At 34.4% G+C, this 23,353-nt stretch overlaps 1 long non-coding RNA gene across 2 annotated transcripts in view; it reads right to left on the bottom strand.

The window, feature by feature from the left end:
• Window positions 1-953: 953 nt before the first annotated feature.
• The window catches only part of LINC02484 (long intergenic non-protein coding RNA 2484), a 148,337-nt gene continuing 125,937 nt past the window's right edge, over window positions 954-23,353 (bottom strand). The window contains exons 3-4 of one of the 2 annotated variants that reach the window (NR_147183.1): window positions 5,344-5,405; window positions 954-998 (exon numbers count right to left, since the gene is read on the bottom strand). This is a non-coding gene — a long non-coding RNA (long intergenic non-protein coding RNA 2484). Of the gene's footprint in view, window positions 999-3,048; window positions 3,268-5,343; window positions 5,406-23,353 lie in introns of those variants that run through there. The other variant, NR_147184.1, reaches the window with a different exon arrangement.

The raw sequence follows: 23,353 nt of genomic DNA on the forward strand, positions 1-23,353 counted from the left end.
TATGATCTTAGTGGGCATGCAGTTGTGGATCCAAAGATATAGCATCTGGAGTGTCCAGTAAAATATAGACCCACAGCAGATGCAAGAGACACATTTACACAGAAATCACATATCTGATTTCACATTTTATATTTAAGTTTATGGGCTCCCCATGTGTCTCTACTCAAAAGTGTTAAGTAAATTGTGCATTAAGATTGATGCTGGAGAATTTAAGGACTCTGGGTTAGGATGAAATAAAAACATGCAGAGAGGAAAACTTAAGAAGAAGAGACCACACCTTGTCTCAAACACATTTCTCTTACCTCACAATAATTCCTAGAATCAACTTTGCCTACATGTGAAAGTCATCTACCTGTTTAAAATGTAACACAAAAGAGCAGTTGGTCACCCTGAAATATTTTATGTGAGGATTGGGAGCGAAAGAACACACAGTATGAAAAAAAATCAGCAAATTTAATCTCAGTGCAAAATAAAAGAAATACATGCATTTTCCCCTTAGGAGTCATGCAGCCCTTAGACTTTAATGCTTTACCTTTGCTTTCCTGATTCTACTATTCCAAGGAGTTATTTTAACTCCCTGTTTGCTTCTTCATTCCATTGTTCTTTTTTCCTCCTGCAAACTTACCTTTCTATTTTCTACATGTCTTTGGAGTATCAGCAAGAACAGTGCAATGTATAATAATCCTGGAAAATGGAAGCATAAGATTCAGGTTCTTATGAACAACATCATTTGCCATGATGTTGATAAAATACCAAACTGTGACTGGATAATGACCTTTGGGTTTATGCTTATGTTCACATACCTAGAGTATAAGCAGTTGTGGAGATCAGTCTTTTGTGGTAAGTTTTTATAGTTCATGTGAAAAAGAAAAAAAATAAATATCTAGCACCCAGAGTTGCCTGATGCAAATATTCTTCTGATTCTCACTGTGAAATGTTTTTTTGTTGAGGATAATTTCTCACTTTAGAGTAAAACAAATCTTGGGTCTTGTCACTGTCTGAAATTAAGAGAAACACATCACTAAGATCAAATACCTTACCTACATAAAGTTATATTTTAATTGATGCTGAAATTGTGTCTTTCCACAGAGAACAGAGATGTTTAGTGTGTGGATTTTATTTCATTTTATTTTTTGAGACGGAGTCTCGCTCTGTCGCCCAGGCTGGAATGCAGTGGCATGATCTCGGCTCACTGCAAGCTCTGCCTCCCGGGTTCACGCCATTCTCCTGCCTCAGCCTCCAGAGTAGCTGGGACTACAGGTGTCCGCCACCATGCCCAGCTAATTTTTTTTTTTTTTTTTGTATTTTTAGTAGAGACGGGGTTTCACCGTGTTAGCCAGGATGGTCTCGATCTCTTGACCTCGTGATCCGCCCGCCTTGGCCTCCCAAAGTACTGGGATTACAGGCGTGAGCCACCGCACCCAGTCGGCTAGTGTGTGGATTTTAAAATGAACTTTTTCTTTACTGGAAATACATAGTCAACTTCATTGGTAGGAGTAAAAAACAACAGAATATAGCTTAGCAGCTTAGTTATAATGCATACTAGGCTACAGGCAGTAGCACAGATCACAAAATCATCGAAGGTGAGAGTCACAGGTTATATGACAACTGCCCTTTCCCTGAATATGAGGGTATTCTAAGCCTGGGTTATAAGTGGACTGGAATGGCGTCCAGCTGGTGAATTCAGCTCGGAAATGCAGGTGAGAAAAGTGCTTAATACTTGAAACATAAGGTGCAAAGAACAGTATTTAAAACACTAAGGACACTTTTGAAATTTGTAGGGAAAGGATTCTAAATGAAAACAGGCAAAATGATGTGACAGGCGTGGCTATGGATTCTGAATCAATAGCCTTCTATGAATTCAGAAAAAAAACTGAACAAAACTTTACTATAGCTTTATAGTAAAGCTGATTGTTTCCTACAGTTTTATATTGTAGTTCAGTAAGTTGGAAGGCTATAGGGTTACAGGAAAGAGGTACAGATAGAGGCAGTCACTCAGAGAATTTTCTTCTGAGTAGAAATCTGCTTTTCTTTGGTATAGCAGCCGTGTTTATTGTCTTGCACATTTTTATTATTAATAGGAAGCTGCAGTGATTCTTACACTACCTGCTCCACACCACTCCCACCTCTCTGGCCCCCTTAAACCAGAATTATGTACAGTAGGCAACGTGCTCCGTGTGGTTTCCAGAATTGCTGGAGGGATGCACAGTTTCCGTCAACTGAAATACAGAATTTTTTTTAGTCTTAACTTTAGTCCATTTAAGATTCCCTAAATAGATTTCTTCTGGAATCTCTTCTAGTTTCTATGCCAATCAGTTCTTTCAGATGTAGCAAAGACACATCATTGATTCCTTCTATTCTTGTCTGATTTAGTAAAACTTATCATAACCAAATTAACATAAAAATTAACATAACTGAAATATAACTTCTGATTTTTTTTCCTCCCATCCAATCTATTTTCCCCCAATCTTTCCTATTTCTGGAAATGGGATCATCATGTGCCCAGTTGATTAAGACTTTATTTTCTAACCACACATATATTATCATCAGAAACTCTTGTAGCTCCATCATCAAAATAAAATTAAAAAACCCCTACTCCACCACGAATGTCCTCTTTTTATCATCATCCTTCACTTGTACTATAGAAGTAGCAGACTAGCCAATATTTGTACTGCTGGTCTTTCCCTCTTGCAATCTGTTCTCTAAATAGCAGCAAGCTATCTGTTTAAGATGCTCATCAGTGCACATCCTTTCTTAATTAAATACATCTAATAGCCTCCTATTACTCTTAGAATTTGGAACTTTCTTTAATGGTCAACATTAGCCTGTCTGATATGCTATGGCTTAAGCCTTTGACCTTATCTATTCTACTTTTTTTTTTTCTCACTGAACTTCTGCCTCTCTAATCTTTCAACTTCTGCTGTACAATTTCCATATTATTGATTATTTTAGAGTCACTTCTTATTCCCTTTGCCTGGAATATTTTGCTCCAGATGCTACAGAAGTAGCATCCTCAATGGCTGATGCCTTCACAGAAGGTAGCCTTCTTCCCATATGTCAGTCCTTGACTATCTTATCTAGAATAAGCCCCACCCATCTCAGTTATGGTCTATTACTTTTTATGCTCTTTTTTTTTTTTTGACAACCAAATGTTATCCGAAATTCTAACAAGTTCATTAGTCCCTGGAAGAATCATCCATCTGGCCGTGTTGAGACGAATCCACTGAGATTCCAGTTTTAAAAAATCATCTTATATTAGTCAGGGTCCTGGAAGAAAAAAGGGCACATTCAAAATCAACAATTTGCAAGAGTTTGAGTTTAAGAAAACCAACAAAGGACAGTGCCATGTGCCAGGATTAGTGAGAGCTGTAGCACTTCTCACTCTTGAGTCTGAAGGAACAAAGAGTAGAGTAGAAATGCTTATCATAATGTGAGTGGTACACATACGGAAAGAGCCACTAGAGACTTGTGACTTTGCGTCAAGAGACAACAAACTCCACCAGACCTAAAAGAGAGGAGGCAATTAACACTTCAGCTTTCCTTCTTTCCATATTCCCTTTCATTCTCAGAATACAATTTAAATTCATACTGCTTATTTGATAAAATATAAATATATTTCACTATTAAGCTACTTAATTTTTTTGGGTGTGGTCAATTACACTGTAACAATTTTTGCCAGAATATCAAACACTTTTATGTTTTCAAATATAATGGTTACTTCTCTCTTCTCATTCTCAAGCTCTCAGCGATATTTGTTCTAGAACAAGAATAGGATCCTGGAGACCTGGTAGAAATGCATCTTAAGAGTCCAGGCAAGTTGATAGTTCAGAGTATTAGTAAATGTTACTAGAAATTACAAGAAAATAATAGATAGTGACTTGGAAGTAAGACTGTCTTAGAAAGTGCTGTTAGAAAGAGGGGCAGCCACGAAGGGGCAGAGAACTGTGAGACAAGTCATATTTGAGGTAATAAGTGACCTAAAGGAGTAATTTTTCAGACACTGTCCTAAATGCTTCACAGGTATTAATTAATTTAATCTTCACTATAACAATATGAAGTGAAGATGATGTCTTGCTATATTGGGGGGAACCTGTTTTTTTTCTTGGGGGGGAACACAACTGGCCCAGAAAAATTAAGGAACCCCACCAATAATACTAGTAGTTTTCAGTAGTCATCTATTAGCATTCATGATTTGCTCCTAGGGTGCAATGTAATGTTGGCGATATTACAGAAAGGAATTATTCTATTCAATTGTTATTTAAGAAAAAATTTCTAAGAAAATCTAAATGGAAGTATTTATTAAAAGTGGTTTTAGAAATCTGATAGTATATGGTCATAACTTTTCTCTGTGAAAAGTAACATTTAGTAGTTTGATAAGTATCAATCACAAGAAAAAGAAAAGGAAATTATTTTTACATTTTAAAATACTCTAACAGATTTGACTCTGTGGCTCATGCCTATAAGCCCAGCACTTAAGGAGGCCAAGATGGGAGAACTGTCCAAGCCCAAGAGTTCAAAATCAGCTTGGGCAACATAGTGAGACCCTGTTCCCAGAAAAAAATAAAAATAAAAAATTAGCTGAGTGTCGGGGAGAATTACTTGCACCCAGGAGGATGAGATGCAGTGGGCTATGATTGTGGCACTGTACTCCAGCCTGTGCCTCAGAGCAAGACTGTGTCTCAAAAAACAATATTAAAAAATTAAAATACTTAATAATTTTCACTTCAATTTTGCAAGGAGTATTTGCATATCTTATTTTATTTCAGAATAAATATTTATTTTTTTCTCTAAGTAGACAGAATTTTATGGCAAAAAATCTTACACAGATCACGTTGAAGGAGCACATATTAAATTTCTATTTTATATTAAAACTTGTATACTTTAGTCATTCCACATTTGACTTTTAAAACAAAACACTTGGTTTCCCCTTATCTTTAACATAGTTTTTCATTCATTTCACTCATTTTCTCATAGATAAATAAATGACATTTGCTTAAAGCAAAATTCCAGGGTTCCTTTATAATTGCAGTAAGGCTAATAAATCAGAGAAACCAAAAAAAATAAGGAAAATTTTCAAAAATATGCTAAATTAGTAGAAAGACAGGATTCAAATTTTACAAATTAAATTTTTGGGGAATGGTGTTTCTTGGAAAAACTACAGGTTTTTATGTCATTGAGAAATCTTCAAGTTTCACAATATTAAGCTATCTAGATATCTCTGTATATCTGTTAGCACAAAGATTTCTCTTGAATAGTCCCTATATGGTCTACATAATACTGTTAATATAAAAGTAACTATGATTGTTGTTTTATTTTGACTATTACTATTATTGTTACACTTACTTGATCAAGTTTCTAGTTACTTCAAACTCATCAGGATCTCAATAAATCAGCTTTTGAGTACTCTAAAAGAAAAATAATGAAAATAAATATATTTAACCATCATTGTATTAAAGGTAGTATTTAAAGTTGTAGTAATTAATTAGGTCACTTATAGAGTGAATGAAGATAGAGAACGAATACACACAAGGACCAAAGAATTCAGAGTTAGTAGGAGGAAAACTAAAGAAGCTCAAGTTGCTAACTAAAAGAGCTGGAAAGTGTGGTGTTCAAAACTGTAGTATAACTTAGTGAGCATCTGTCCAAATCTCTTCACGCTCTTATAATCATGTATACATATGAGCATATATTTTCACCTTTATCCATACACAAACGTCTGTTTATGTGTGAATAGTGTGTGTACCTTGTTTGTTTCTTAAAAATGGTATCTATTAGTGAATTTGAGCAACTTTTCATATTTTTTGTGATTTAACTGCAACTCATTTATACTATTGCTATAACTTAAACACTTACATATTTTATTTAAGGACATTCATCTCTATCACGTTTATGAATTTTATAGTTTGAAATAATTTGGACCTCTGGTTTGTATAGAATGCTGATAAAATGCTTGGGCTTTGCAATTAAATAAATCTAAAAATAGAAGCTAATGTTGGTCTTTTATATGGAGAGTAGTTAAGTTTTTTAATCCATGGTTTCTTCATTTAATAATAGTAGTATCTTATGTGAGTATTATGAAATTAAGAAATTAAGATTTGGTATTTTTAGTTTGAATGAATACATGTAATAGTGACTCACATACTGGTAGTATAATTGTTATTAATGAAAAAATATAGTCAGATATTTTTATTTCTTAAAATTAATCGGATGTTTGAATAAAAAGCAATAATCTAAGGGTATTATTGTAATTGATGTCAGAGCTAAGTATAAATCTATTTGAAGTGTTTCAGAATCGTTAAGGAATTGTACATCACATTAAACAATGGTCTGAACACTAGCTTATCTGTAATACTGAATTAAAATGTAAAATTTCAATATTTTAATTAAATAATCACAGTTACTTTACATATGTAAATGATTTTGGCAAGTAAGCAATTGTTCTCTATCAATTTTCATCCATTCTTCCTTTGCCATGCCTCTTATTAGAGGCAGTAGGATTCAACTATTCTAATTCTGGTTGCTTTACGACTCTTAATTTACAAAGATTTGTACCATGTCATCCCTTTTTAAGTCACTTCTAGTGAGCTACATAATCTCTATTTTACATTAATCCTTACAACAATTATAGCTAATACCCCAAAATTTAATGTTTAATTGTTCAATGATTACTTAATATAACATAGTTATCTACATTTATATATTTGTACATTTTTTCAGTTCACACAAAGTCATGTAGTCCTACAGAAATGTCTAGTACACCGCTATTTTATATAATCAATATTGTATATTTGACCTGAGTAAAAATACATTAATTGTAATAACTTTTGACTCTTACTTCCTGGTTATTGTGAAGTTGTAAAAGGAATATTCTCATTGTTAAGGTCGCATAATTGCATTACCAAATTATTACTTTTACTGAAATCAGCGGGTAGAATACAACTCCATAAAGTTGTGCTTCTCAGTTGGGAGATGAAAGAGTAAGAGCATTTTCCAGTAGAGGAATGTCTTACACAGGGTTCCTAGGAAGCAGAGACTGGGGCAAAATCTTGTGAGCTAATACTTTATTGAAAGTGCAATTCTGAGGACCACCAAAGCAAAAGAAAAGTGAGGCCTGGAGATAGAGCATATATAAGAGAGTTAAATAACAGGTCATAGGTTTCCAACAAATACATCTGGGGGCTGTGTCCTAGAGGGATGTCCCTAGAGACCCAAAGGACACAAATCCATCTTGGGACAGTTTTCAGGCATGAAGGGCAAAACCATGGATATAATGGCTCCTTCTTGACTGCTGTACCTTATCAAAGACTACACAACAAGACAACAACTCTTTTACATTTCTAGGTGTCCTAACAGACTCTCTGGGCATCACTACGAAAGCCATAGTTCTAGGCCCAGTAGTATGCTGGCTTCAGGCATGACCCAGTGCATTCCCAGCCTTGATGGCCACAGGGAGAGACTCCTTGTGCTTAAGAAAAAGAGAAGGAAATGAAAAGAGGACTTTGTCTTGAAACTTGGGTACCAGCTGAGCCACAGTTAAATAAAGCACCAAGCAGGCACCTAATGCCCTCAGTCCCTGTCCCAGCTGCTGGACAGCATTTCTCAATCCACCCAGTGCCAAAAGGGAACCTGCTGACCTGAAGAAAAAAGCCCAGTCTTGACTGGTTTTATAACCTGATTAAAGAGCAGTTGGACATTGAATAAACATCAATTATAGCCAGGAAATAGCCAACAGAAGACTTGGGTGAGACCCAGTACTGTGCTGACTTCAGGTGTGACCTAGCATAGTCCCAGTGGTGGTGGTAATGGGAGTGCATGCATTGCCTTTCCCCCAACTCCAGGCAGCTCAGCATAGAGAGAGAGGCTCTGTTTGTTTGAGGGAAAGTAAGGGAAGAGAACAAGAGACATTACCTGGTAATCCATGAAATTGTCACAATATGCACCCAATACCACTAAAATGAAACTTCTATGAGTTTGCAGGAATCCTAGCATTACTGGGCTTGGGATGTCCACTATTGCACATACAACTGCAGTGACCAAAGACTTGGATCACAACACTCAATTTCCTTGGAATACTTGGAAAGCCTTCTCCAGAAGAAGATGTACAAACAAGCCCAGACTGAAAAGATTAGAAAAAAAATGTCTAACTGTTTAATATCTAACTATATGCAAATAAATTGGAAAACCTAAAGAAAATAAACTCCTAGACATATATAACCTAGCAAGATTGAATCAGGAAGAAATTCAAAAACCTGAAGATATCAATAGCAAGTAGTGAGATGAAAACCATAATAAAAAGTCTCCCAATAAAGCAAAGCCCAGGACCTGATGGCTTCATTGCTGAATTCTACCAAACATTTAAAAAAGAACTAATACCAATCCTACTCAAACTATTCATAAAAATAAAGGTAGACAAATACATTCAAACTCATTCTATGAGATCAGCATTACTCTGATACAAAAAAACAGACAAAGATACATCAAAAAATAAAATGAAATGCCAATAATCCTTAGTGAACACTGATGGAAAAATTCCCAACACGATGCAAACAAATCAAATTCCAAAACACATTAAAGAGATCCTTTATTATGACCTATTGTAATTCATCCCAAAGATGCAAGGGATGGTACAACATACACCAATCAATCAATGTGATGCATCATATCAACAGAATGAAGGAAAAAACGAATATGATCATCTAATTGATGCTGAAAAATATATATGATACAATTCAACATCCCTTCATCATGAAAACCCTCAAAAATTGGGAATAAAAGGAACATATCTCAAAAAAAAAAAGTCATATATTACCAACCCATAGCTAATATTATACTGAATGGGGGAAAAAAACAAACACTTTTCTCCAAGATCTGGAACAAGATAAAGATTCCCACTTTCATTACTGTTACTCAACATCATCCTGGAAATCCCAGCTAGAGCAATTAGACAAGAGAAAGAAATAAAAGGCTTGAAATTGGAAAGAAAGAAGTCAAATTACCCTGGTTGCAAATAATATAATCTTATATTTAGAAAAACCTAAGGACCCTACCAAAAAAAATTAGGACTAATAAACAAATTCAATAAAGTTCCATAATACAAAATCAATATACAAAAATCAGTAACATTTCTATACACCAAGAGCAAGCAATCTGAAAAATAAATCAAGAAAGTAATCCCATTTATAATAGCTACATAAAATAAAGTAAAATAAAATAACTATAAATAAACTTAACCAAAGAAGTAAAAGATCTCTACAATAAAAACTATGCAACATTTATTTAAAATATTGAGGAAGACACAAAAAATGGAAAAATAGTCCACGTTCATGGATTGGAGGAACTGATATAATTCTTAAAATGTCCGTAAAAGAGGGATCTACAGATTCAGTGCAATCCATACAAAATACCAACAATATTTTTCACAGACATAGAAAAAATCCTAAAATTTAAATGTAATCACAAAAGACTCAGTATAGCCACAGCCATTTGAGGAAAAAAAAAAAACTGGAGGAATCACATTATCTGACTTTAAATAATACTACAGAGCTATAGTAACCAAAACAGCATGGTGCTGACATAAAAAGAGACACATAGACTAATGTAACAGAATATAGAACCTAGAAATAAATTTATACATCTACAGTGAATTCATTTTCAACAAAAGTACAAGGAGCATACATTGGAGAAAAGACACTCTCTTCAATAAATGGTGCTGGAAAAACTGGATATCTGTATGCAGAAGAATAAAACTAGATATCTACCTCCTGCCGTGTATGAAAGTCAAATCAAAATGAATTAGACTTAAATCTCAGACCTGAAAATATGAGACTATTAAAAGAAAACATTGAGGAAACTCTCCAGGATATTTGTCTGGAGAAAGATTTCTTGAGTAATGCCCAAAAAGCACAGGCAACCCACGAAAAAAAAGGACAAATATAATCACATCAAGTTAAAAACCTTCTGCTCAGCAAAGGAAACAATCATAAAAATGAAGAAACAATTCACAGCATGGGAGAAAATGTTTGCAAACTGTCTATTTGACAAGGGATTAATAACTAGAATATATAAGGAACTCAATTCAATCAAAAAAATCTAATAATCTCATAAAAAATGGTTGAAAAATATGAATAGACATTTTCCAAAGGCCATACAAATGGAAAACAGATATGAAATGGTGCTCAATATCACTGATCTTCAGAGAAATGCAAATTAAAACTACAAGGAGATATTATCTCACCCCAATTAAAAGAGCTTTCATCCAAAAGACACGTAATAATGAATGCTGGTTAGGATGCACAGAAACAGAACCCTCATATGCTGTTGGTAGGAATATAAAGTAGTCCAGCTACTATGTAGTCAGTATGGAGGTTCCTCAAAAAACTACAAATAAAACTGTCATATGATCCAGCAATCCCACTGCTAGGTATATAACTTAAAGAAACCTAATCAGTATAAGAAGACATATGTGCGTTTCCATGTTTATTGCAACACTACTCACAATAGCCAAGATTTGAAATCCATCTAAGTGTCCATCAACAAATAAATGGATAAAGAAAATGTGGTACATATACATGATGGGATATTATCCAGCCCTAAAAAGGATGAGATCCTGTCATTTGCAACAACACAGATGGAATTGGAGGACATTGTGTAAAGTGATATAGTCTAGGCACGGAAAGACAAACTTCAAATGTTCTCACTCACGTGTGGAAGCTAAAAATTAAAACTAACTCATATAGATAAAGAGTAGAATGATGGTTATCAGTGGCTGAGAAGGGTAGTGAGGATGTGTGGAAACAGGGATGTTTAGTGGTGATATAGTTTGGATATTTGTTCCCGTCCAAATTTTATGTTGAAATTGAATCCCCAATGTTGGAGGTGGGGATTGGTGGGAGGTGTTTGGATCATGGGGGAAATTTCTCATCAATGGTTTCAGCCATCCCCTTTGTGATAAGTGAGCTTTTTCTCTGAGTTCACATGAGATCTAGTCATTTAATGCTGTGTGAAACTTTCCCCAAAGTCTCTTTCTTGTTTGCTCCTGCTTTTGCTCTATGACATTCCTGTTCCTCCTTCATCTTCTGCCATAATTGAAAGCTCCCTGAGGCTTCACCAAAAGTTGAGTTTCCTATAAAGCCTGCAGAAACCTGAGCCAACTAAACCTCTTTTCTTTGTAAATTACCCAGTCTCAGGTATTTCTTTACAGCAATGCAAGAACAGCCTGATACAGTCGGTACAAAAATAATTAGACAAAATGCATAAGTGCTAGTATTTGTTAGCAGAAGAGAGTGACTACAGTCAGCAATACTTTGTTGTACATTATAGAATAACTGAAGGAGTACAATTGGAATGTGTGTAACACCGAGAAATAATGAATGCTTGAGGTGATGGATACCCCATTTATCTTGATGTGATTATTACATATTGCATTGTATGCCTGTATCAAAATATCTCATGCACCCCATAAATATATATATACCTACTATGTACCCATAAAGGTTAAAAATATAAAAAGCACTAAATATTCTCAGTTTTAATTTTTCACCATATTAGTAAATTGAAAGACATGTCATAATCATATAACATTTTCAATCACATATAGATTTCTCTAATTTGCATATAAAATATTTATATATTAAATTATTTTTTAAATGATAACAATATTTCAAAGCTCCATATAGGTTGTGGTTTGGTTCAACACACTTGAAGAGAAAATTAAACGCAGAAACCCAAGGGCACTTAATTCAGATACTCATGCCCTATTTTATGTTTTAGTGAGATTGGTGAGTATAGTAGTTGATATGGATTGGCTGTGTCCCCACCCAAATATCATTTTGAATTTTAGTTCCCATAATCCCCAGATGTCATGGGAGGGACCCAGTGGGAAGCAATTGGATCATGGGGGCAGTTTTCCCCATGCTGTTCTCATGATAGCGAGTTCTCATGAGATCTGATGGTTTTATAAGGGGCTTCCCCCTTCCCTCAGCATTCATTATCTCTCCTGCTACCCTGTGAAGAGGTGCCTTCCACCATGATTGTTTCCTGAGGCCTCCCCAGCCATGCAGAACTGTGAGTCAATTAAACCTCTTTTCTTTATTAATTACCCAGTCTCAGGTATTTCATGGAAGCTGTGGTTGGCAGTCTATTAATGTGAGGTACAACACAGAGGAAGCAACCTTCCTAATGACTCGGCCTGCATGATTTCAGTGGACTCAAGTTTAGGTATTTTATCAATATAATTTGAAGGAAGTTACATCCATCTCTGACACAGTTCAGCTTCTCTCTCTGATTAATTTTTGCTGCATTTTTATTTCAATGTAATTTTGTGTGTAATTGATGTAACTCTTGGTTAAGAAGAGAGAAGGCACAGATGCATATTCCACCATATGTAGAAAATTGTAAAATGTACCTCATCTTCAAAAACACAGCAATGTTAGCTAATTTAAGATTTTCTTTCTTTTCTATGCACTTTCTTCATGCTGAGTATGATGATAATTTCTAAAAGTCCCCAAAGTTCAAAAGTTAAGCAAGAAAGCAAATAATAAAAAATGATGAAGACCTGACAAACAAAATAATGTGTCATTAGAAAATTTCATTTCAAATCATGAAGAAAAATTGCACAAAAATCAGTTTTATTAGTGTGGAATTTTGGGGTAAAGAAAATTTAGAGTCTTCTATTTCTTAATTTTCTGCAGTATATGAATAAATAGTGTAGGATTCTTCACAATGCACATTTACAGAGGATTCTTTGTGAATCTTCACATTCAAGTTATATGGCCAACTTTTACCAGATAGCCTATCCATTATCACATATAAGATCTTTACAGACATGGCTTTTAGGAACACCTATTTCAGCATTGGTCATTAAAGGTTTGTATTTTACTGAGTAGTTAGAAAAGAACAGCCTAGTACCTCTAAAGTCACTAATCTCATTCAAGAGGGCTCTGCCATTATGACCTAATTACTTCTCAAGTGTCTTATTCCCTAATACCTTTACACTGATGATTAGGTTTCAACATATGAATTTTGGAGGGGCATAAACATCCAGATTACAGCACATATAAAAAAATCAGTTGGAGCCTGAGACCAACTATGGTCTAGAGGGATTTTTGTCCCAGCCATGTTAGAATCACCTAGTGGGTTTGATAATCTTGTAGGCTTCTAGGAGCATCCTAGTTAAACTATCTCAGACTTTGTTGGGATTTAATTTGGGAACCTCTAATTTTAACAAACGTTTCAAATGTTTTTTACAAATATTATTGAGAACTACTAGCTTATAAGAATGTTGGATGCTACTTTCTCATTTGTATGTGTGTGTTAATTTCACCGTAATTTCCCATTTATAAATTTAAAGTGATAAAGTTTTAAGCAGTGAAAATTTCTGAGACTTTTATGTTTCCATACCACCTAGTAGATATGTATTTGCTATTCTAATTTTTAATTTTACATAATAGGTTACTCTAAAACAGAGTAGTACAAACCGACCATATTACTTTGTCTACAACAATGTGGATTACTTTTTTTAATTCCGGAATGGTTATATTTTTACAAAGAGCATTTTTATATATTATAAAGATATTACCTTGAAAGACAGGGAGGTTTTTTTTTTCTACTAAGTTGAGTTTATTTTTACCCAATGGAAAATATGGTTGGTGTGTGTGTGTTTGATTTTTATTTTTTATTTATTTTTCTGTTTAAAAATTATTTATTTCTTTTTCTTCCTTTTTTAACTTTTATTTTGGATTTGTGTTTCCAGGTACATGTACAGGTTTGTTACCTGGTTATATTACGTGTTGCTGAGGTTTGGGGTATAAATGATCCTGTTACCCAGGTACTGAGCATAGTATCCAATAGTTAGTTTTCAACCCATTCCCCTTTATTCTAGTGTCTCTTTTTATAATCTTTATGTCCATGACTACCCAATGTTGGATTCCAACTTATACGTGAGAACATGCGGTATTTGGTTTTCTGTGCCTGTGTTATTTCACTTGAAGGAATTATCTCCAGATGCATCCATTGTTACAAAGAACACGATTTTGTTATTTTTTTGTGGCTGTATAGTATTCCATGGTACGTATGTACCACATTTTCTTTATTCTGTCCATTACTGATGGACACCTAGGTTGATTCCGTTACTTTGTTACTGTGAATAGGGTTGTGATGAACAAGCAAGTGCATGTGTGTTTTTGGTACAACAATTTGTTTTCTTTTGAATATTTATCCAGTAATGAGATTGCTGGGGCAAATGGAAATTTTGTTTTGAGAAATATCCAAACTTCTTTCCATAGTGGTTAAACTAATTTAAATTCCCACCAACAGTGTACAAACATTTAATTTTCTCCTCAGCCATACCAATATCTGTTGTTTTCTTCTTCTTAATAATAGTCATTTTAATTGGTGTGAGATGGTACCTTATTGTTGTTTTCATTTGCATGTCTTTGATAATTATTGATTATGAGAATTTTTTCATATGCCTGTTGGCCACTTAGATTACTTCTGTTCATGACTTTTGCCCATTTTAATGGGGTTATTTGTCTTTTGCTTATTCAATTGTTTACATTCTTTATAGATACTAGATATTAGATCTTTGTTGAGTGCAACCTCATTATGTAGGTTGTCTACTTAATCTCTTGATAATTTCTTTTGCTGTTCAGAAACTCTTCAGTTTAATCAGGTCCCACTTGTTAATTTTTGTTTGTGTTGCAATTGCCTTTGAGGCCTTAGTCATAAATTATTTGCCAAAGCCAGTGTCCAGAATGATGTTTTCAAGGTTTTCTTCTATGATTCTTATAGTCTGAGGTCTTACATTTAAGTCTTTAATCCATCTTGAGTTAATTTTTAGATATGATAAAACACAGGAGTCCTGTTTCATTTTTCCGCATACAGATAGACAGCTATCTTGCACTATATACTGAATAGGGAGTCTTTCCACATTGCCTGTTTTTGTTGACTGTGTCGAATATTAGATGGCTGTAGGTGTGTGGCTTTACTTCTGGGTTCTTCATTCTGTTCCATTGTTCTATGTGTCTGTGTTTGTACTAGTACCATGTTGTTTTGGTTACTGTAGCCTCACCGTATAGTTTGAAGTCAGGTATTGTGATGCCTCCAGCCTTGTTCTTTTTGCCTAGGATTTCTTTGGCTATTCCAGCTCTTTTATGGTTTCATATAAATTTTATAAGTTTTGTTTCTAATTCTGTGAAAAATGACATGATAGTTTGATAGGAATAACATTTAATCTGTAGATTGTTTTAGGCAGTATGGCCATTAAAAAAATATTGGTTCTTCCAATCCATAAGCATGGAACTTTTTACTTGTTTGTATCATCTATGATTTATTTCAGCAATGTTTCGTATAATAGTTCTTACAGAGATCTTCCACCTCCTTGGTTAGAGATTTTCTTAGGTAGTTCAATTTTTTGTGGCTACTACAAATGGGATTGTGTTCTCGATTTCGCTCTCAGCTATAACGTTATTGGTGTATAGAAATGTCACTAATTTTTGTACATTGATTATATATCCTGACTGTATGAATGTAATTTCTCAAGTCTAAGAGTCTTTTGGTGGAGTCCTTAAGGTTTTTGAGGTAGATAATTATATCATCAGCAAACAGAGATAATCTGACTTCTTCTTTTGCTCTTTGGGTGACTTTTTTTTCTCTTGCTTGATTGCTCTGGCTTGGAATTTCAGTCTTGTTTTGAATGGAAGTGGTGACAGTGGATATTCTTGTCTTGTTCTGGTTCTCTAGAATAATGCTTCCAGCTTTTGCCCATCCGGTATGATGTTTTATGTGGATTTATCATAAATAGCTCTTATTATTTTGAGGTCTGTTTCTTCAATGCCTAGTCCCTTGAGAGTTTTTATTATAAAGGGATGTTGGATTTTATAAAAAGCTTTTTCCATATCAATTGTGATGATTCTATGGTTGTTTTTATTTCTGTTTATGTGGTGAATCAACCTTGAATCCGAGGAATGAAGCCTACTTAATCATGGTGAATTAACTTTTTGATGTGTTGTTGAATTTAGTTTGCTAATATTTTGTTGAGAACTTTTACATCAGTATTCATTAGGAGCAACAACCTGCAGTTTTTTAGGTTTTTTTTCCTCTTTCTTTGCCAAGTTTTCATATATAGGTACTTCTGCCTTTGTAGAATGAGTTAGAGAGGAGTCCCTACTCCATGATTTTTTGAAATAATTTTAGTTGATTTGGTACCAGCTATTCATGGTCTGTGTGGTAGAATTCAGCTATGAATCTATCTGGTCTGGGGTTTATTTTCATTGGTAGCTTTTCTATTACTAATTCTGTTTCAGAACTTGTTATTGGTCTGTTCGGTGTTTCATTATCTTCCTCATTCAATCGTGAGAGATTTTGGGTTTCCAGGAACTTATCCATTACTTCTAAATTTTTTAGTTTGTTTATGTAGAGATATTCATAATAGTCTCTGAGGATCTTTTGTATTTCTGATGGGTTTGTTGTGATGTCACCTTTGTTGCTTCTGATTGGACTTATTTGAATCTCTCTTTAATTAGCTAGCAGCCTTATGAATCTTGTTTAGATTTTCAGAAGCCAACTATTTTTTTAAACTGCATGGATTTTGGAGTCTCAATTTCATTCAGTTCTGCTCTAATTTCAGTTATTTCCTTTCTTCTGCTAGTTTTTGGGTTAGTTTGCTCTTGTTTTTCTGTTTCCTCTAGGTGAGATGCTAGATCACTAATTTGAAATTTTTCTGACATTTACAGGTAGGCATTTAGCTCTACGAAATTTCTTCTTAACACTGCTTTTGCTGCATGCCAGGTATTTTGGTATGTTGTGTGTCTATTTTCATTTATTTCAAAGAATTTTTTCATTTCTGCCTTGATTTCATTGCATACCCAGACATCATTCAGCAGCAAGTTGCTTAATTTCCATGAACTTATGTGGTTTTGAGAGATCTTCTTATTGTTTTTCATTTTTATTCTGCTGTGGTCCAAGAATGTGGTTGTTATGATTCTGAAACTTTTTTTGAATCTATTGAGAATTTCTTCATGGCTGAGAATATTGTCAATCTTGAAGTATGCTCCATGTAAAAATGAGTGAAGTTTTTGTAGATGTGTATTAGATCGAATTGTCTAATTGGTCAATTTTAATTCCAGAATCTTTGTTTTTTTTTGCTTTAATGATCTAATGCCGTCATTGGGGTGTTAAAGATCCCCCCTATTATAGTGTGGCTGTATAAGTCTTTTCATAGGTTTAGAAGTGCTTGTTTTGTTAACGTAGGTGCTCTAATGTTGAATGCATATATATTTATGGATATATATGTACACATTTATATATTTATATGCATATATATTTAGGATCATTAATTCATGCTAAATTGAACACTTTGTCATTATGTAATGCCCTTCTTTGTCCTTTTTTACTAATGTTGGTTTAAAGTCTGTTTTATCTGATATAAATATAGTGACCCCTGGTCTCTTGTGTTTTCTATTTGCATAGTAGATCTTTCTAGAGCCCTTTACTTTGAGCTTATGGGTATCATTACATGTGAGATGGGTCTCTCAAAGACAGCAGACTGATGGCCTTTTTTTTAAATTCAATTTGCTACTCTGTTCCTTTTTACTGGGGGCATGTAGACTATTTACATTCAAGGTTAATATTGATATGTGAAGTTTTGATCCTATTGTGCAAATACTAGCTGTGTGCTTTGCAGCTTCAATTGTGTTTTTACTTTATAGGGTCCGCGGTCTCTGTTTTTAAGCGTGTTTTTGTGGTAGCACATATTTTTTCCCCATGTTTAGAACTCCCTTAAGGATTTCTTATCAGGTGGGTTTAGAGGTAATGCATTCTTTTAGTGCATTTTTAGTGCATTTTTTGGGAAGGATATAATATTCTGGGTTGAATTTTTTTTTTCTTTACAAATGTTAGAAGTAGGCCCCTAATCTCTCCTGGCTTGTAAGATTTCTCCTGGAAAGTTCACTGTTAGTCTGATGTGGTTCCCTTTGCATGTGATACAGGTCAGGAATTTTTTAAGGGTGTGGCTGGACTTTTTTACTTGGACGTGCTCATGCAGTTATAGTAAAATGTTTTCTGTGCTTCAATCACTGAAGGCAGAACAAGCCTGGTAATTCAAGATGGTTTATTCATATGGCTATCAGTTGATGCAGCTGTCATCTGAGAGTTCAGCTTAGTAATGTTTACCAGATAAACAGCCTGTGGCCTCCTCCAACCCCATTCTATATTTGTAATAAATACTTCTGCTTTCTAAGAAGTTGATCTTGTAAGCAACACACGCTTCTGTTGGTATAATTTCTTTCTGTGCCTGATAAACTATTGCCATAAGGTGGGCAAAGTGGCCAGGTAGCAGTAATAGCTTCAAATGTATTGGGATTCTATGCCCTCCAAAGAAAGCTTCTCTTTTTTGTACCCAGAGGCATTATAATTACAGAGCCTAAAGCTATGAGAACAGAGAACTCCAGTTTCCCAAGTAGATTAGTAGGAGTGAAGAAATGCAAAATCATTCCTATTTGAAGTGTTGAAAGACATCTAACCACATCTCCTACCTGTTTCTTCCCAAAATCTCGACTTTGGCTTGGGATTCTTTCCCTCTCTGAGAATTGAACCTTATTTGAAGTTACGGCCACCCTGCTTACACTTAGGTCTTCAACTCTGTGTGCCTTCTAGTTGCAGAAGATGAATGCCTTCTTAAATATTGTCCAAGAGTTCTCTGGCTCTGACACTTGAATAATTAACAGATTGCTTCATGCATCATTGTTTCCTAGCAATAAACCACCCAAATCCTTAGTGTTTTTGTTTGATATTTCCCTTTATCTTTCAAATTCTAACAGCAATGTACCAGGTTGTAAATCACATTCACTTGCTTCCCATCTACATTTACCACAGTTAGAAATCTTAGAAGTCTCACTGCTACAATTTCCTGAAGACTATCAATACTCTACCTCCCACCAATGATGGGGGTCTTCATTTGCTATCAGAGTTTGAGATATGAGTTCTGGGAGGAGATAATTTGTTGGTAAAATTCTCCTATAAAAAGAGGATTAAGAGAAGCAAGGCAGTACAAGGGAAGAAAGCTGAAGATAAGCTGCTTTGGCTGGAAAATAGCTTCAATCTGGTCTCATGAGACTCTCTGCTATATAAACTGCACTAAGGAGCTAGCCTCAGCTTAAAATGAGATAACTAAACTTTCCTACCACCCCTTCAGTTCAGTCAATCATTGGCCTAATGGCTCCAGAAAGTTACCAATCAAAATTTTTTGATCAGGTAGTTTCTGCTTGGCCTCATCAATTTTCCAGAAAAGTTAGTAGCTATAGTCCTCTAGTAGCTAACATTCTTAGCAGCTGGGGAGTAAGTGCATCTGACTGTCTGGTGATGAGAGTTCATGCAGAGAACTAATAATACCACTATCTGAGAATGGGTTTGGAGGAATGACTTTTTTTCCGTGATTGGGGGAAATGTTACAATGTTTCTAGAAGGACCTCAAATGGAGAACTGAATTCTCTTTGACAAAGCAAATCTACTATGGTAAAATATTTCTACAAAAATATGTATACAAGTTTGTGAATGTGTCTATACAAGAATGTTCATAAACAATGTCTATAAGAGTAAAATTGTTAAAACCTTAAAATTTCCATAGTGAAGGATGGGTTAAATAATTTTATACAATGAGATATTATGATTTATATATTAATATAGCTCTATGATTTATGTTTCTGTATGTTCTTAACATCAAAACATAAATTGTTAAATCTTACACAAAGGTTATTTATTGTCTCACATTCTTTAGAATACTGCTGTATAAAAAAGAAACATATGTGAGGGCTTTTAACACATTATTAAACAGTGTAAGACTCAAAATAATCTTAGAGCCTTTTGGTTTCAGAATGTATGCATCCAAGGCTTAAAAGCAGCTGTTCTTGAAGGATGATATTTTTGGTATGACTAGCTCTAGTGAGATCATACTGGAATAATGGTATTTATAAAATATATTCATTATTATTGACATCCATCCTCTACAGGATATTAATAACTTGGAATATGAATTGGGATTGCAGGTTTTTCTTCATTTTGCTTACCTAAATTTCATAATTTAACTATGAACTATTTACAGATAAAGCATTACTTTTATTTATAGCTGCAACATATATCTTTAGATAAAAATAAGGGGGAAGTTTTTCTTACAGTCACACTCATATGTCGAATTACTTAGGGAAATCTTTATTACTATAAAAATACATGGTGTAAGGGTCTTCAATATCATTAATTTTATACAGCAATTTTTAACTGGTCTCAAAAACATTTTCAGTAAATTCTAATGAAATAACTTCCAGTGTTTGAACTCACAAGGGAATGCAGAAAACTGAATGCTGACAAAGAATTTTATTCCCCAGAAATATATAAACATACCTTATTTAATTTGGCATAAAAATGCAGATGTGCAAAAGGAATAGAATATAAGCCAGTAAACATGCAAAGGATCACCATTATGCACCTAAAAATATGATATTCTTGGGCCGGGCGCGGTGGCTCATGCCTGTACTCCCAGCACTTTGGGAGGCCAAGGTGGGTGGATCACGAGGTCAAAAGATGGAGACCATCCTGGCCAACAAGGTGAAACCCTGTCTCTACTAAAAATACAAAAATTAGCGGGGCGTGGTGGCGCACAGCTGTAGTCCCAGCTACTCGGGAGGCTGAGGCAGGAGAACTGCTTGAAGGCAGGAGGCTGAGGTTGCAGCGACATCACGCCACTGCACGCCAGCCTGGCCACAGAGCGAGTCTCCTCTCAAAAAAACAAACAGACAAACAAACAAACAAAAGACCTTCTTGCCACCCATGGAAACAAGTGGGACAGTGCTCTAATGAAGCAAAAAGTTGTTTTTCTGCTGGATTTGGGGTTAACAAATGTTATCACTTTGGCCTCTGAGATAACAGTACATACTGTAATTTTTATATGAAAAAGGTTAAATATTTAGTAGCTATAAATCAAAGTTTGATGTGAAATAGTATTTCAAAAAGTTTTTTCATCCTTTAAATGATTGGAGCCCATTCCATTTCTTCACATTCTCTGCAAAAATAAATCAGAAAATAAGTCTTAAATTTCCTTAGTAGTCTTCAAAACACAGATATGCTTGGTAAAATTTTATGGGCTTTAAATTATATAAATGGACATACATTTAAGATTTCACAAATATTTGAGCCAAGAAAATATCATGACAAAGTGACATTGGTAGGTGACATTGTTTGCTTCATGGCCACCAGCTTCCATTCCTTTATTTGATAACATGTTGTTTTTCCTTTGGGGATGATGCATACGGTTATGTACCACCAATTATGTTAGAAAATGGGAAAGATCCTTGCTCTTACCTTGTCAATTCTGCCAATGGTTAATTACATGACTTAAGCTTAACAACAACAACCAAAACCCCACCACATTTTTAAGGGACTCTGAATCTTAAGTGAGGTTTGCAAGAACAGAAGCAATGACAGAAGTGAGTTAATCTCAATAGAAATACCTGCACCAGACTGACCTTACTGTAAGGCACTTTCTGTAGAACCCAAAGTTACATTGATTATTGAACGACTGCAAATCTGGTTCTTTCTTCCACACTCAAAATTTTGAATAATGCTAAGAAGTGAATCCTATTATATTTATGTTTAATTCTCTAATTCAGCCAACACAAATAATAGAAAATAGAGGAATGAATAAAATAAGAATAACTTGCTATTCTTCCTAATATGGTCTCTTTATTGTAGTCAGCCTATACAATTTATAGCAACTGGAATACAGCTAGTGAACTGAAAAATGATATTTTAACCCTATACATATATAGTTGTACAAAAAAGTTCTTAAATAATCATGTTTTCATCTGGCAAAGATAGTTTATAACTTTAATTTGATGCCTTGGACACATGTGAAATCTCTCCCATAATTTAATACAGAGAGAACATAAATATTTTCCAATTTCAAGAGTTCATGATATCGGTCAATGCATCAATGACATAGTGCTTAATACTGAATACAGAAAGTGTGAAATAGTAGCTATACTACTTAACTAAGTATGACATATGCACATTAGTGAGTTGGAAATTAATTCCACAAAAAGTTCAGGATCTACCAGTGAAATTTCTGAGTAAGATTGTGGCTTGTTTGATCATTTTGGAATAATTTTTGCTGCAGATCCAGTTAAGAACAAGCTTGAGTGATGCAATCGTGCAGTTAAGATTCCAGGACCTTCATTAGGTAAAATACCTTCCGAAGAAAATTTGACTGTTTTTATTCAAATCTGATACATATATGGTTTTAACCAGTAATTCTAGATTGTGATATATACTTTGGAGGAGCATTTACATATGTCAAAAATAATGTTTACACAAGAATAATATATATTAGTTGGATTAATAATAACAATAAAGGCCGGGTGCAGTGCCTCACGCCTGTAATCCCAGCACTTTGGGAGGCCGAGGTAGGCGGATCACGAGGTCAAGAGATCAAGACAATCCTGGCCAACATGGTGAAACCCCATTTCTACCAAAAACACAAAAATTAGCTGGGTGTAATGGCACACACCTGTAATCCCAGCTACTCGGGAGGCTGAGGCAGGAGAGTCGCTTGAACCTGGGAGGTAGAGGTTGCAGTGAGCTGAGATCGCGCCACTGCACCCCAGCCTGGGCGACAGAGCGAGACTATGTCTCAAAAAATAAAATAATAATAAAAAGGAAAAATGAAACAAAACAAAAATATAAAGAAAGAAGGTCCCTAAATGCTATCAGTATAGATATGGATGAATCCATTTTATGTTATTCATGTTATAATATATGATGCAGTAGTTAAGAATAATGTGCTTTCAATGGACTAATATAGAAAAATTTAGAAGATATATTATTATTAAACAGAAAAATCAAGTTATAGACAAAATGTGCACTAGCATGCTCTCTATAAAGTATATTTTACAATGTTATGCATTTGTATCTACATTTATATTTATGGCTGTTATTATATTTACCTACCTATCCACATATATTTGGATAGATATAAACCAAATTAATTACTGTGGTTATTTCTGGGATAGGACTGATATTGACAGTGATTGTTGAAGGATCCTACGAAATATTTGAATTTTGCTTTTTATGAGAATAGCATATTTATGTATAAATTCTATAATCAAAATGAGTTTTTAAATAAGAGAAAATTTGAGTGAGTTGCCCATGGTAAAAAAGCTAATTAGTGCTTGAGACAATATTAAAACCTAGGAATTCTGACAATTATGATAGTCACTAATTTTCTTATGCTACATTCTTGCAAATGACTAATTTTCACTAAGCATTTCAACCAAAAAGAATTAAATATTAATTACATCCAAGTTAAAAA

This window comes from Homo sapiens, chromosome 4, assembly GCF_000001405.40.
Source record: "Homo sapiens chromosome 4, GRCh38.p14 Primary Assembly".
In the NCBI taxonomy this organism is placed as follows: domain Eukaryota; kingdom Metazoa; phylum Chordata; class Mammalia; order Primates; family Hominidae; genus Homo; species Homo sapiens.